This window comes from Homo sapiens, chromosome 2 (genome assembly GCF_000001405.40).
Source record: "Homo sapiens chromosome 2, GRCh38.p14 Primary Assembly".
NCBI lineage: Eukaryota > Metazoa > Chordata > Mammalia > Primates > Hominidae > Homo > Homo sapiens.
The window spans coordinates 208,352,639-208,366,749 of NC_000002.12; the positions used below are offsets into that span (position 1 = coordinate 208,352,639).

At 38.9% G+C, this 14,111-nt stretch overlaps 2 protein-coding genes and 1 pseudogene across 46 annotated transcripts in view, besides 1 other annotated feature; 2 read left to right on the top strand and 1 right to left on the bottom strand.

The window, feature by feature from the left end:
- Window positions 1–6,108, top strand: part of PIKFYVE (phosphoinositide kinase, FYVE-type zinc finger containing) — a 92,691-nt gene extending 86,583 nt beyond the window's left edge. For 37 of the 38 annotated variants that reach the window (XM_011510779.3, XM_047443667.1, XM_047443672.1 and 34 more), the window contains 4 exons: window positions 16–144; window positions 1,260–1,521; window positions 1,933–2,007; window positions 2,552–6,108. In XM_011510779.3, the coding sequence (XP_011509081.1) occupies window positions 16–144; window positions 1,260–1,521; window positions 1,933–2,007; window positions 2,552–2,667 (582 nt within the window). In that variant the 3' untranslated portion in view covers window positions 2,668–6,108. Of the gene's footprint in view, window positions 1–15; window positions 145–1,259; window positions 1,522–1,932; window positions 2,008–2,551 lie in introns of those variants that run through there. The other variant, XR_007070607.1, reaches the window with a different exon arrangement.
- PTH2R (parathyroid hormone 2 receptor) overlaps window positions 7,054–14,111 on the top strand; it is a 134,815-nt gene continuing 127,757 nt past the window's right edge. For all 8 annotated transcript variants that reach the window (NR_163994.1, NR_163993.1, NR_163991.1 and 5 more), the window contains exon 1: window positions 7,054–7,599. The gene's annotated coding sequence lies outside the window, so the exon portion shown is untranslated. The remainder of the gene's footprint in view (window positions 7,600–14,111) is intronic.
- Window positions 8,071–8,731, bottom strand: ARPC1BP1 (ARPC1B pseudogene 1; annotated as a pseudogene).
- Window positions 10,973–11,072: a silencer, noted in NCBI's record as "silent region_12290". NCBI's record gives its function as "represses an Ori minimal core promoter by ATAC-STARR-seq in GM12878 lymphoblastoid cells {active_cell/tissue: GM12878}" and the evidence as "EXISTENCE:reporter gene assay evidence [ECO:0000049][PMID:35858748]".

Consider the following 14,111-nt stretch of genomic DNA (forward strand, 5'->3'; position numbering starts at 1 on the left):
CCTTCTCTTGATTAGAGGCCCACGGCGTTGGCCAAAATTCTTGGAGTTTACAGAATTGGTTATAAGAACTCTCAGAACAACACTGAGAAGAAGTTAGATCTCCTTGTCATGGAAAATCTTTTCTACGGGAGAAAGATGGCACAGGTAAGGGTATTGGACTATGTGAAGCATTTAGCTACTGGAACCTTTTGTACCTTTGGTTCTTAAATATAGTGAATCAGAGAGTAACATCTTATTTTATAGTAAATATTTAACTTTGGTTACTAGGCCATATTTAACTTTTGACTTGCTCAGCCTTGGAGAAAGAATGAAGAGGAATTATTCTTGTGGAGTGGTCTTAAAATACAGCATATCCAATATTCTAGAATCACAGAATTGGTAGAATAAGAAGGCAGATCTACTTCCCGCATCTTTTTTGAAGATTAAGAAGCTGAGGCATACAGAAATTAAGTACTTCATTAAAATCACTCAGTTATTCCTAGACTCAGGTTAGTCTAGATTCTAAAACAGTACTGTTCAAAGAGCTAGTCCTTGAACTGTTTCCAGTCTATGATAAGATAAGGAACGTGTGCTAGAATGTAATTCAGTTCACTGCTTTCTTCATTGAGAACACCTTCTATGAGAAAAATGTCAGCTGAACTAAACAATATACTTAATAATGTAATTGATTTATATTCTGGCACTAGTTCCCTAATGTTGTAGTGAGCCAGGAGCAACTGACCAGCATTGGTCTGTAGAATATACTACAGGTTGTACTGGTCCTGGTACTCAAGTCCCCTGTCCTTTGAGTGCATTGCTTTTCCTACCACCCAAATATTCCTGTGTTATGCTCTTCTACATTGCTGTAAGTAATTGTCCAGAGTTTGGTATCAAAACTATGTTTCTTAAGACTATTTGCATCTCTCTCTTTTTTTTTTTAACACTGTTTTGTGATCCAATGATGTATTTCTGGAGTTACTTGTTAATGTATCTTGAAGTTGATTAAATTGGCCAGTGTATTTCGGAAACGTTTCAGTAATTGAGTACCTAGGTGTTAATTTTAAATGATAGAATTATGTTACTGTGTATTTTATGTACTGTACAATGATATCACCATGCGTTTAAAAACTTAAAAATTATGATTCAATTTTCAGTTAAACTTTGGAGTGTGTGTAATGGTAGTGACTATAAGGAGTCTTTCTGCCTTTTTTATTTACTTACATTAACTAATCATTTGTGGCAACCTGTACATAAATGACAAAGCATTTTCTTTTTACTAGGTTTTTGATTTGAAGGGCTCTCTTAGGAATCGGAATGTAAAAACTGACACTGGAAAAGAGAGTTGTGATGTGGTCCTGCTAGATGAAAATCTCCTAAAGATGGTTCGAGACAACCCTCTATATATTCGTTCTCATTCCAAAGCTGTGCTGAGAACCTCGATCCATAGTGACTCCCATTTCCTTTCTAGCCACCTCATTATAGATTATTCTTTGCTGGTTGGGCGAGATGATACTAGCAATGAGCTAGTAGTTGGAATTATAGGTAAGTCAATGAGTACCCTGCTTATATTTCATGATTGAAGTCAGAGTCAAATTTTAAAGATTCTATTGAACCTGGTCTAATAATAGCTTATTGAATATTTTCACAAACTTTCATTTGAAATTTCAAAAATAAGTTTTTTATTCTAGTCTCTTCTACTCAGTTTCCTCATTTTCATTATCTCTACCAAAAATATGTGAATTAAAAAAGTCACTTATAAATGAGGACTTTTGTGATTGTTGTGAGGATTAAACAAATTAGTGTGGAGAAACCCTGAGAACAGCACTTGGCACATTGTTAGCACTCAATAAAAGTTAACTGTCATAGAAGTAGTAGTAATAGTCATTGCTGTTGTCATTTGATTATATTTATTAACATAGCTTTATTGCTAATTTCACTCCTTCTACCCCCCAGATTATATTCGAACATTTACATGGGACAAAAAGCTTGAGATGGTTGTGAAATCAACAGGAATTTTAGGTGGACAAGGTGAGAATTTTTGTTTTGTTTAAATTGTTCACATGTATTTCTTATCAGTTAAAATTTTAAAAGTGGATACTGATTCTTTTTTTTAGTTGTAAAAAATAAGTGGTTATCATTGATTTCATTGTCATTTCTAAAGTGACCAAACAATAATGAGAATTATATAGGTGGGGAAATATTGGGTGTAAATATGTGTTAAAATGTCAGAGGTTCTCAAAAAGATTTTTTAAAAAGCCAGATGTTCTGAATAAGAGATTGTCTTTAATTAACACTTGAGACTTCCAAGTTCTCTAAGCACTGTTAGCCTCATTTGTGCTCTTAGACATCGCTCATCTCTAGGCAGGAGCTAGTCTTTTTAAACAGAAACTCGTACCAGGTAGGACTTTGTCCCATGGCATGTGGCACAACAGATAACCTTTCCTGCCCACTCAGACTGCTTCTGCATGTGTATCTTTATGGCAGTTTATATGAAAGAACATGGTCAGTTGACTTCAGTTGCCCAATCAATTATATAACAGCTTTTTCCCCCTTTTCTCTTTCATAATCTCAGGTAAAATGCCAACAGTGGTGTCTCCGGAGTTGTACAGGACTAGGTTTTGTGAGGCAATGGACAAGTATTTCCTAATGGTACCAGACCACTGGACAGGCTTGGGTCTGAATTGCTGAAATCAAGCACATATTTTGAAATGGACTGTGAAGGAAAAGGGGACAGGAACAAAGGACCAAAAATAAGCTACATGTTTTATTTCTTCATCGTGTTCACCACTGTATGCCAAGGCTTTTCAGTTCTGTGGCTGTTTAGACTGTCCGTAATGGAATGGTAAAACTCCATGAATTTGCACTTTGGTTTTTGATACCTGTGGAGCTGTCTGTAGGTTGGGAAGTGGCATGAAAATTTTCTTAAGCTAAAATACAGACATGTTTCAAAGGGCTAAAGTTGGAGATGAGTAGATAGGGTGAAAAATGGGTTAAATTTGCTAGCTTAATTGTTTTAAGAAGAAAACAGTGTCTCATAAATTGACTATCCTGGCATCACATTTAACATGTTATCTACTTAGAAAGCATTTGTAGAGCTGCTGAATTTGTTTTGTGTTTTTCTGTAATAATTTAATGTTACTTATTATCAGAATTTCTGAAACCTTTACAAAAATTCTGATTTATTCCATTAATGGCCGGTTAAACACGTGGGCATTTATTGTTTTATTGAGGAATTTGACTTAAACTGGGAATCCTGTCATGTTGTTTATCTTTCCAGCTTGCCTGTTTTTGAGTATGTTTGATGTTTTTAAAATTTTGTCTTCTCTGTGGAAGACAGGAGGCTACAGCAATTAACTTTAAGCCTCCTTTTAGAGATATTTTTAAAACTTGTTTAAAATTTTTGTGCAATTCATATATTAAATTGCACTTACTTGCATACGCTCATATTCTAGGGTTTTTTCTCTATTTTTAGGGTATCATAGTAAATCATTAGTAAATGAGTCTGTAGTTACTAAACCCTAATGGAATAATTATTAATGAAAGATTTTTGAAATATAAAAAATAAATTAGGCCCAATCCAAGAAATTGAGTGAGAAGGAAACACTTGTTTTATTCACAGAGGTAAAGTGTCTTTTCAATATAACCAGCAATTTAGGTGGCATCTATAAAATAAAAAATTTCTACTGTGGACATCCCCTTTTCCAACTTTCTACATAATGGCTAGTTCTGACTACTAAGAAATGTTAAGAAATAGGCCAAGTGCGGTGGCTCACGCCTATAATCCTATCACTTTGGGAGGCCTAGGCAGGCAGATCACCTGAGGTCAGGAGTTCAAGACCAGCCTGGCCAACATGACGAAACCCCATCTCTACTAAAAAGACAAAAAATTAGCTGGGCATGGTGGCATATACCTGTAACCCCAACTACTTGGGTGGCTGAGGCAGGAGAATTGTTTGAACCTGGGAGGCGGAGGCTGCAGTGAGCTGGGATTACACCATTGCATTCCAGCCTGGGCAACAGAGCAAGACTGTCTCAAAAAACAAAACGAAACAAAAAAAGAAAGTTATTCTTAGTAAGGAACTTCTTGTTTAATAGCATTTTTGTTTATTTTAAAAAGTGATCAGAAGTAGTAAACTATCTTTGAGGAAATACTGTAACCCCAGAATATTTCCTCTTGACTTCTTTTTGTAACAAGGATAATTTAGGGATTTATAAAGTTGTAAGGATTTCACTGTTTTTGGACTGCCTATAATAATAGCACATTAACCTTCACATAATAAGAAATCTGGACAAGTTCAGTTACACAGTATGATGAATACTTGAATTAGGAACATTGTGGAAAATTTGCTTTAGAGAATCAAGGCAGTAGTTTGGTATTTGGTGCTTATTAAAAATGTGGTTTGTTTTGAACTGGAAGCAAGTTGACCAAGGACTTATGACTAATGTGATGCTAAGTTCCACTTGGCCCCTTTTAAAAACGTGTATGTGCCTTTTGAAGATACACAAAACACTGAGGATTTTAGTTTTGAAATCAAAGACTATTAAAGGAGCTGTACAGAGGTAAAAAAATAAATGTGGAACATTATTAACTTACTTTGTGTCTAGGAACAATGGATTTTGTATCTGATTTAAAATGCCAACACTGTTTTGTCTCTGTTCATTTTTTCTGTGAGGATACTTAAGGTTATTATTCCTGTCTGTTTCCTGTACTCCCCTAGTCATGAGCACTTGAAGTACAAGGTGTCTCCCCCTAGGTGCAATTAGGTTGTTTCTTTGTTTTTAGTTTCAATTCTATGTGCATAGCAGGAATGCTCCACAGGAATGGCTTCTGACAATAATCTGTCCTGTTGATTTTGTTTTCCTTGCCCATGACTTGAACAACTGTGTTTTAAAGTACTGTAGTCTAGTAGGTAACTTTGTGGCAAAAATTTTCAATATAATACATTCTGAAACAATAGTTGCTGCCTTGCAAAGGTAATCTCTCATTTTAAAATTGGACAGTATTAATGAAGGGGAAATATACAATTTATTTCTATTGAGTGGTAGAACTATATGTCTGGTCCCTTGCTGCTCTTGTTTAGGCCACTATCATAGATATATTTCAAATATTGTACTACTCAGTGTTAAGTATTGAATGACTGTTTCCCTTTCCTTCAAGGCCTAGAGTATATTCTGAAAATTTAGGAATGAGGAAGAAATCTTAATACTTCCTTCCTTAACATACAACATGAGTCCCGAGAATAATTGATAGTAGCAAGAGAAAACTATGTCAGTAACATGTTGCTTTGTATAAAAATCTTATTTATAAATGTGAAGCTTTTTGATGCCATCAAAACTTATTAAAAAATAGGATTTACTTTTTTCTAATTCTGACCTAAGAAAAATAATGAGAACAAGCTGTTGCAAGCTCTTTTGTAGTCTATTGAATATTTTATAGATATTCAAAATTTCCTACAAACTATAATTTTTTCCATGATTTAGCAGTGAGTGATTTTCTAGCTTTGGCTCTTATTAGGTATTGTAAATAGTAGGGTTATATCGATATCAGCTTTTGTGATGGCATTGTGGTCATCAGCTTCATGACATTTTACCCATTTGCAGTGATCCTGTGTAAAACTGCCAAGGAAAGTAATTACCTGTAGGAGTTTGCTGAGCTTGAAGAGTGAAAACTGTTGTGAATGAGCCTGATCATAAAACGGACCAGGCCATTCATTATTCCTCAAGTGTTAATATACTGACTTATGCAGTATTCAAACCATCTAGTGCAATGTTTTTGTTTTTGTTTTTTTTTTGGTAACACAGGTGCAGTGTATTATAGAAAAAATAAAAACTACAATCATTAGCAGTTTTAATACTGCTGTGTCAGTTTTGTAAAAAATGTACATTATGTCTTTTGACATGTTGAATTTTAAACTAGGGAAATGACATTGTAAATCATAGTAGCCTCTTTTAATTTAATATGAAAAATGCCACTATATTGAAAGTACTTAATGTATTGTATATATTTCTCTACTTTGGTTCTAGCTATTTTATATGATTGACATGTTATTTAAAAGATAACTGCCTTGAACTTTTGGAGACTTGTACTGTAAATAAAGAAATCTTAACAATAAACTCAGAATCTACTTACTCCACTTAGTTTTGAATCTGCTTGAAGAAATTGACAACAAAAGGAAATGGAGTTTGTCCTGCAAGCCTAGTCTTTGTGTTACTGGTGGAGGGTGTCCAGGTTCTTGGCGTTTTGAACAAAGAATTGGACAAAACACAAAAAGCAAGGAAAGAATGAAGCAACAAAAGCAGAGATTTATTGAAAACGAAAGTACATTCCACAGAGTAGGAGCCCAGGAGCACTGGGGCACAACAGCTCCCGTTACAGAACTTTCTGGGGTTTAAATACCCTCTAGGGATTTACCATTGGTTAGTTGGTGTACACCCTGTGTAAATTAATTAGTGGCCTGCAATCAGTGTGATTGGTTGCAGAAAGCAACCCATCAGGCTGAAGTGAAGTTACAAAGGTTAAACCCTATGCAAGTGTCGTTGTGGAAAACAACCAGTCAGAGGCCGAAGTTACAAAGGTTACACCCTATGCAAGCATCTCATTGGTTGTGGAAAGCAACCAATCAGAGGCTGAAGTGAAGTTACAAAGTTACACTCCTATGCCAATGTCTGGTTGCAGAAAGCAGCCAATCAGAGATGCTTTCAATTTTCCGTCTGCCATGCAGAAAAGGGAAGAGGGTGCTTGCAAACGGAGTATTCCAGTCCTTTTGTTACTTAGATGTAGAAAGTTGGGGTTTTCCTTTTGATTTAGTTCTAGAAAGTCAGTGTGAATCGGCCTTAGGTTCCCTGCCTCCAGACTATTCTGCCTCACCTGGCCTAGCAGTGTCGCTTTCTGTTCATTCTGTTCATTCTCTTCCTGGTTGTTTAACCACTGGAGAATCCGTAACTTAAGGTAAACCCACAGTTCATTTCAGCCAATACTGGGCAAGCAGCATTCCCCTTCTTTCTTCTGATAGGGCACTAAAGGAAGTCCTGCCCTCTTCCATTTGCGATTGGCTGAATTTGTGGGTGGGCAGGGCTCTCCGCTGCCAGTGCCTCCGTGCTCCGAGGGACCACAGGTCCACTACGTGAGGGGAGGCTTCCCTCCCACAGGAACTCACACCTGTGGGCAGGAAGCCGGGAGGCCCGCCCCCTGCCTGGGTTCCTGCAGGGGAAGGCGAGGGTGGCTGGATAGAGCGTACCCTGAGAGGTGGTTGGGCAGGAGGCTGGGCTGGTGGCCAGCTGCGCAGGGAGACCGGGAGGTGGCAGATCTGCGGGGCGCCCAGTCACTTCCTCCACGTTCTCGTGCTGGGCGGGAGGAGCGGATGGGGCTTGGGAGGCAGCCTGCTCTCCAGTCCCTATCCACCCACAGGTTTTTTGGGTCGGAGAGGAATTATCTGATAAAATTCCTGGGTTAATATTTTTAAAAACGGAGAGTTTTTAAAAATGATTTTTTTCCCTCGAAAATGACCTTTTTATGCTTCGAAGCAGTTTGTCACCAGCATAGTGCTTTTTCTTTTCTCTTCTTTTTCTACGATAAATGAAAGCATTTCTTCAAGAAAAAGGCACAGGTTCCTTGAACAGGTAAGAAGAGCGCCCCACTTGTTCTCCCGCCTTCTGCGTGAGCAGCCCCTACGGGGTCTCCTACTGGTCCCTAGGAACTTTCGCCACACCCGGAGCGGCGGCCTCCCCGAGCCCCTCGGGGCCCCTTCCCTGGCAGCTGGGATGAGGGCAGCGTGCTCCTCGCAGGTTACTTGGTCCTGAGGTCCTCCCTCAGGCGCTGGGCATGCCTGGGGCGCAGAACCGCAGCTCTGGGCCAGACCCGGCTGAGACTGTGCTTGTGCGGCGAGTGGAGGCCGCTCCCGGGGCCCTGCCGCCCTCTCGCTCGCTCGGGGCTCTGGAGTCTGGCGGGCCGCAAGCCGCGCTGCCGGCTCTACCTGGCTTTGTCCATCCAGCCACCCACCAAGCGCCAGGGTAAAACAGCACCCGGAAGCAGTCGTCGCCTGCTGCCACCAGGCTGCCTTCTGTGGTGAAGGTGGGGGCCAGGGTTGCAAGGCCCTCCTCTTGTTGGCATCAGCCAGGCACGCAGTGCTGTCGTGGCTGACCCAGGCCGTGAGGCACCCGCTGACTGAGAAGCCAACCTGAGCACCCAGCCGCACCTACCGCTGGCCTCAGACATCAGCACCCCAAAGGGTATGTTGGAGTCCCATGGTGGAGGTGCCGGCCGCTCCTCCACGCACTTGATGTATACCGAGGATCCCATGCTTGACGTCGCAGGGGGCATTAGCCAGGAGCACGTTGCTGGGATGCCAGTCCAGGCTGAGGATGGTGGAGCCAATGGGCTTCTTGATGTACTTGCACACCCACCAGTTATTCTCCCGCTGGAAATAACAGATGGCGATGACACACAGCTGCCGCCCACAGCAAACTTGTCCTGTGGGCCCAGCACACACAGCAGGCAGTGGGTGCGGGCTTACCCTCCTGGCCCGTCAGCGTCCACACAGAGGCCTTGTGGCCTGTGCCATAGGTCACGATGAGGTTACTCTTGGAGGCCCAGTTGATGCCTTTTACCTGCCCGTTGTGCTCCTTGAGCTCGGGCACCTTGGCCCACTTGGCCCCACTCTTACAGCTTCGTGGTTGTTGAGGCAGATGGTGGCCATCTGGGTGCGGCCCTTGCTCCAGGTTTGGCAGCAATGGGTTCCTGCAGTCAGCTGTGGGAGGCTGTAGTTGCTCTCCTTTTCAGAGTACCCCAGCTGCAGACTCTGGGCAGGACGCACCCAACCAGTGCTCTGGTTTTTTGAAGTAAAAAATGCATAATGCAATTTTACCATCTTAACCATTTTTTAATTATGAAATCCGGTAGTGTTAAGTATAATTGTGTTGTTGTGAAACAGATCTCCACAACTTTTTCATTTTGCAAAACTAAATAACTCCTCTTTCCCCCTACTCCCAAGCTCCAGGCAGCTACCATTTCTGTTTCTATGAATTTGACTACTTATATTACCTCATATAAAGGGGTTCATAAGTATTTGTCTTTTCTTGCTTGGTTACATCACTTAGCATGATTTCTTAAGTTTCATTCATGTTGTAGCACATGTCAAGATTTCCTTTTTTTTTTTTAAAAAAAAGGATGAAGACTATTCGTTTGTATGTATATGCCACATTTTGTTTATCCATCCATTTTTCTTCAAATGTTTGAGTTGTGTGATGTTTAATTATGTGTCACCTTGACGGGGCAAAGGGTTGCCCAGACAGCTGGTAAAACATTATTTCTGGGTATGTTAGTGAGGCTGTTTCCAGAAGAGATTAGCATTTGAATTGGCAGGCTGAATAATGAAGATCTGCCCTCATCAATGTGGATGGGCCAGAACAAACCAAAAAGGTGGAGAAAGGACCAGTTATCTCCCCACCACCCCTGTGCCCTTTAGCTGGGACATCCATCTTCTGCCATCAGACATCAGAGCTTCTGGTTCTCAGGCCTTCAGACTCCAGAAGTTATACCAGTGGCTTCCCTGGCTTTTGGACTCAGACTGGGGTTTCACTGTATGTTTCCCTGATTCTCAGGCCTTTGGACTTGAATTGAATTACAGCATGAACTTTCCTAGTTCTCTAGCTTGCATATGGCATATTGTGGGACTTCTTGACCTCCATAATCATGTGAGCTAATTCCCATAATAAATCTCCTCTTATGTATCTATAATTCATATAGATATGATATCTATATATCAATCCCATAGATAAATAGATGTCTCATATATATATCAATGTCTCTATATGTAGATGTCTCATATATGGTATCTATGTATCTGTATCATCTCTATATATCTAATCATCTAATATAGATGTCTCATGATATCTATATAGATATATCTATATCATAGATGCAGAGATATCATATATATGTCTGTTTCTTTGGAGAATTCTGACTGATACAGGTTGCTTCCGCCTTTTGGCTATCATGAGTAATGCCGCTGTAACCATGGGTATGCAAATACTTCTTTGAGACCCTGCTCTGAGTTCTTTTGGGTAAATACCCAGAAGTGGATTGCTGGATGATTTGGTGGTTCTACTTTTAATTTTTTGAGGAAATGCCATACTGTTTTCCATAATGGTTGCACCATTTTATAATCTCACCAAGAGTGCACAGGGTTTCAATTTCTCTACATCCATACCAACACTTATTAGTGTGTGTGTGTGTGTGTGTGTGTGTTTAATGGCTGTCCTAATGGGTGTGAGGTGACATTTCACTGTGGTTCTGATTTGCACATCTCTGATAATTGCTGGTGTTGAGCATCCTTCCATATGCTTGTTGGTCATTTATATATCATCTTTGGAAAAAATGTCTATTCAAGTCTTTTGTCTATTTTTTTTCCTTCCAACTTTTATTTTAGGTCTGGGGGTACATGTGCAGGTTTGTTACATGGATAAATTGTGTGTCATGGGGGTTTGGTGTACAGATTATTTGGTCGCCTAGGTAAATGAGCATAGTACCTGATAGGTAGTTTTTTGACCCTCCCCCTTCTCCCACCCTCCACCCTGAAGTAGGCCCCAGTGTTTATTGTTCCCTTCTTAGCATCTGTGTGTAGTCAATGTTTAGCTCCCACTTATAAGTGAGAAAATGTGGTATTTGGTTTTCTGTTCTTACATTAACTTGCTTAGAATGATGGCCTCCAGCAGCATCCATGTTGCTGCAAAGGACATGATTTCGTTCTTCTTATAGCTGTGGTGTATATGTACCACATTTTCTTTACCCAGTCCACTGCTGATGGGCATCTAGGTTGATTCCATGTCTTTGATATTGTGAATAGTGCTATGATGAACATATGTGTGCATGTGTCTTTGTGGCAGAACAATTTACATTTCTTTGGGTATATATCCAGTAATGGGGTTGCTAGGTGGAATGATTAATTCACTTTTAAGTTCTTTAAGAAATCTCTAAACCTCTTTCCCCAGTGGCTGAACTAACTTACATTCCCACCAGCAGTGTCCAAGTGTTTCCTTTTCTGCACAACCTTACTAACATCTGTTATTTTTTGACTTTTTAATGATAGCCATTCTGACTCATATGAGATCGTATCTCTCTGTGGTTTTGACTTGCATTTCTCTGATGATTAGTGATGTAGAGCATTTTTTCAAATGCTTGTTGGCCGCATGTGTCTTCTTTTGAGAAGTGTCTGCTCCTGTCATTTGCCCACTTTTTAATGGGCTTGTTTGTTTTTTGCTTGTTAATTTAAGTTTCATGTAGATTCTGGATATTAGACCTTTGTCAAATGCATAGTTTGTGAATATTTTCTCCCATTCCATAGGTTGTTTACTCTGTTGATAGTTTCTTTTGCTATGCAGAAGCTCTTTAGTTTAGTTAGGTACTACTTGTCAATTTTTGTTTTTGTTGCTTTGTCCATTTTAAAAAATAGAGTAATTTGATTATTTTGTTGTTGAATTGTAGGAATTCTTTATATATTATGGATGCTAACATCTTATCAAATATGATTTGCAAAACATTTTCCCTCATTCTGTAGGTTGCCTTTTCACTATTGTGTCCTTCAATGAACAAAAGTTTTTATGTTTGATGCAGTCCCATTTGTCCATTTTTTTTGGTTGCCTGTGATTTTGGTGTCATATCCAAGAATGTGGAATGTGTCATATCCACATTCAATGTCCTGACGATTTTTTTCTATGTTTTCTTCCAGAAGTTTTATTGCTTTGGGTCTTTGGTTTAAGTCTTTAGTCCATTTTGAGTTAATTTTTGTATGTGGTGTAAGAAACAGGTCCAACTGCATTGTTTTGCATGTAAATATCCAGTTTTCCCAGCATCATTTGTTGACCAGACTGTCCTTTTCCCATTTAGTGCTGTTGGAGCTCTTCTTGGAGGTCAGTTGGCCATGTGTACACAAGTTTATTTCTGGGCTCTTTATTCTGTTCTATTGATTTGTATATCTGTCTTTATTCCAGTACCACACTGTTTTATTCTTCTTTTTCAAAATTGTTTGACTCTTAGGGCCCTTTGAGATTCCATATCAATTTTAGGATGAATTCTTCTATTTCTGCAACAAATGCTATTGGAATTTTGATAAGGATTGAATTGAATCTGTAGACTGTTTTGAGTGATATTAACATCTTAATAATATTAAGTCTAATCCATGAATGTGAGATGTTTCTATTTATTTATCTCTTCTTTGATTTCTTTCAGTAATGTTTTATAGTTTTCATTATATAAGTTTTTACTTCCTTAGTCAATTTCTAAGAATTGTTTTCTTTTTGATGCCATTGCAACGGGAATCATTTTCTTAATTTTTTCAGATGCTTTCACTATTTGTGTATAGAAATGTAACTGATTTTTTGTATGTGTGTTGATTTTGTATCTGGTAACTTTACTGAATTTTTAAATTTGTTCTAACCTGTTTTTTTTTTTTGGTGGAATCTTTAGGATTTTCTGCATATAAGATCATGCCATCTACAAACAGAAATTTTTACTTCTTTCTTCCCAATTTGGATGCCTTTTATTGCTTTTTCTTGTCTAATTGCTTTGGACTGGAGTTCCAATACTCTGTTGAATAGAAGTGTCCAGAACAGACATTTTTGCCTTGTTCTTAATCTTAGAGGAAAAGCTTCCAGTTTTTCACTGAGTATGCCGTTAGCTGTGGACTTTTCCTAAACAACCTTTATTATGTGCAGGTAATTTCCTTCTCTTTCCACTTTTGAGTGTTTTTTTTCTTTTCTTTTCTTTTTTTGTGTGTGAAAGGATATTGAATTTTGCCAAATGCTTTTCCTGCATCAGTGGAGATGGTCATGTGGGTTTTGTCCTTTATTCTGTAAATGTGGTGTACTACATTGATTTTCATATGTTGAACCATCCTTGCATCCCAGGGATAAATCCCACTTGATCATGGTGAATGATCTTTTGAGTGTGCTGTTGAATTTATTTTGCTAGTATTTTTTTGACTACGTTCATCAGACATATTGGGTAATTATTTATTTTTTCTTGTAGTATTTTTGCCTAGCTTTGATATCACACTAATGCTGCCCCTCAAAGAATGACCTTGGAAGTATTCCTTTCTCTTCAGTTTTTGGGGGATTGATGTAAATTCTTTTTTTTTTTTTTTTGGAGACAGGGTCTCACTGTCACCCAGGCTGGAGTGCAGCGGCACAATCATAGCTCACTGCAGCCTCTAACTCCTGGGCTCAAGCAATTCTGCTTCAGCCTCCTGAGTAGCTGGGACTATAAGCATGTGCCACCATGCACAGCTAATTTATATATATATAATATAATAGATAAATATATATATATATATATATATATATATATATTTTTTTTTTTTTTTTTTTTTTTTTTTTTTTTTTTTGCAGAGACAAGGTAGGTCTTGCTATGTTGCCCAGGCTGGTCTCAGACTCCTAGGCTCAAGTGAACCTCTCACCTCAGTCTCCCAAAGTTCTGGGATTACAGGCATGAGCCACCACGTCTGGCCAGTGTTAATTCTTCAATATTTGGTAGAATTCTTCAGTGAAGTCTTCTAGTCCTGGGCTTTTCTTTGTTGGGAGGTTTTTAATTACCAACTCAATTTCCTTACTAGTTATTGGTCTATTTATATCTTCTATTTCTTCATGATTCAGTCTTGGCAGGTTTGGTGTTTCTAGAAATTTATCCATTTCTTATAGGTCATCCAGTTTGTTGGTATAGTTCATAGTCTTCTCTTATAATCCTTTCTTATCTGTAGCTCAGTACCTCCTATCTGGAGATGCAGAATTAGGAATTGAAACTATAATAGGCCCCCCTTTTATAATGGGGTGTCCTTATTTTTACCTTCTCACCTTGCAATACCCTTGTCTTGCTAGTAAAGAAAGAAGGGAAATTTGATTCAGGAGGTAATCATACTTTTCAATTTGTACAAGATCTAATAGCCATGAACTCCTATGTCATTCCTCACCATCCCATAATTCTTAGCCCAGCCATCATCCTTACCTCAATCCCTGCTGGTGCAGCCTGGTTTATTCTGTTAATGTGCTGTACTGCATTGAGGTAAGGACTTCTGCTCAGCTTTCTTCTTGATACCATTGTACCTTGATTCACACTTCCTCTTGTGAAATAAAGTTTAGCA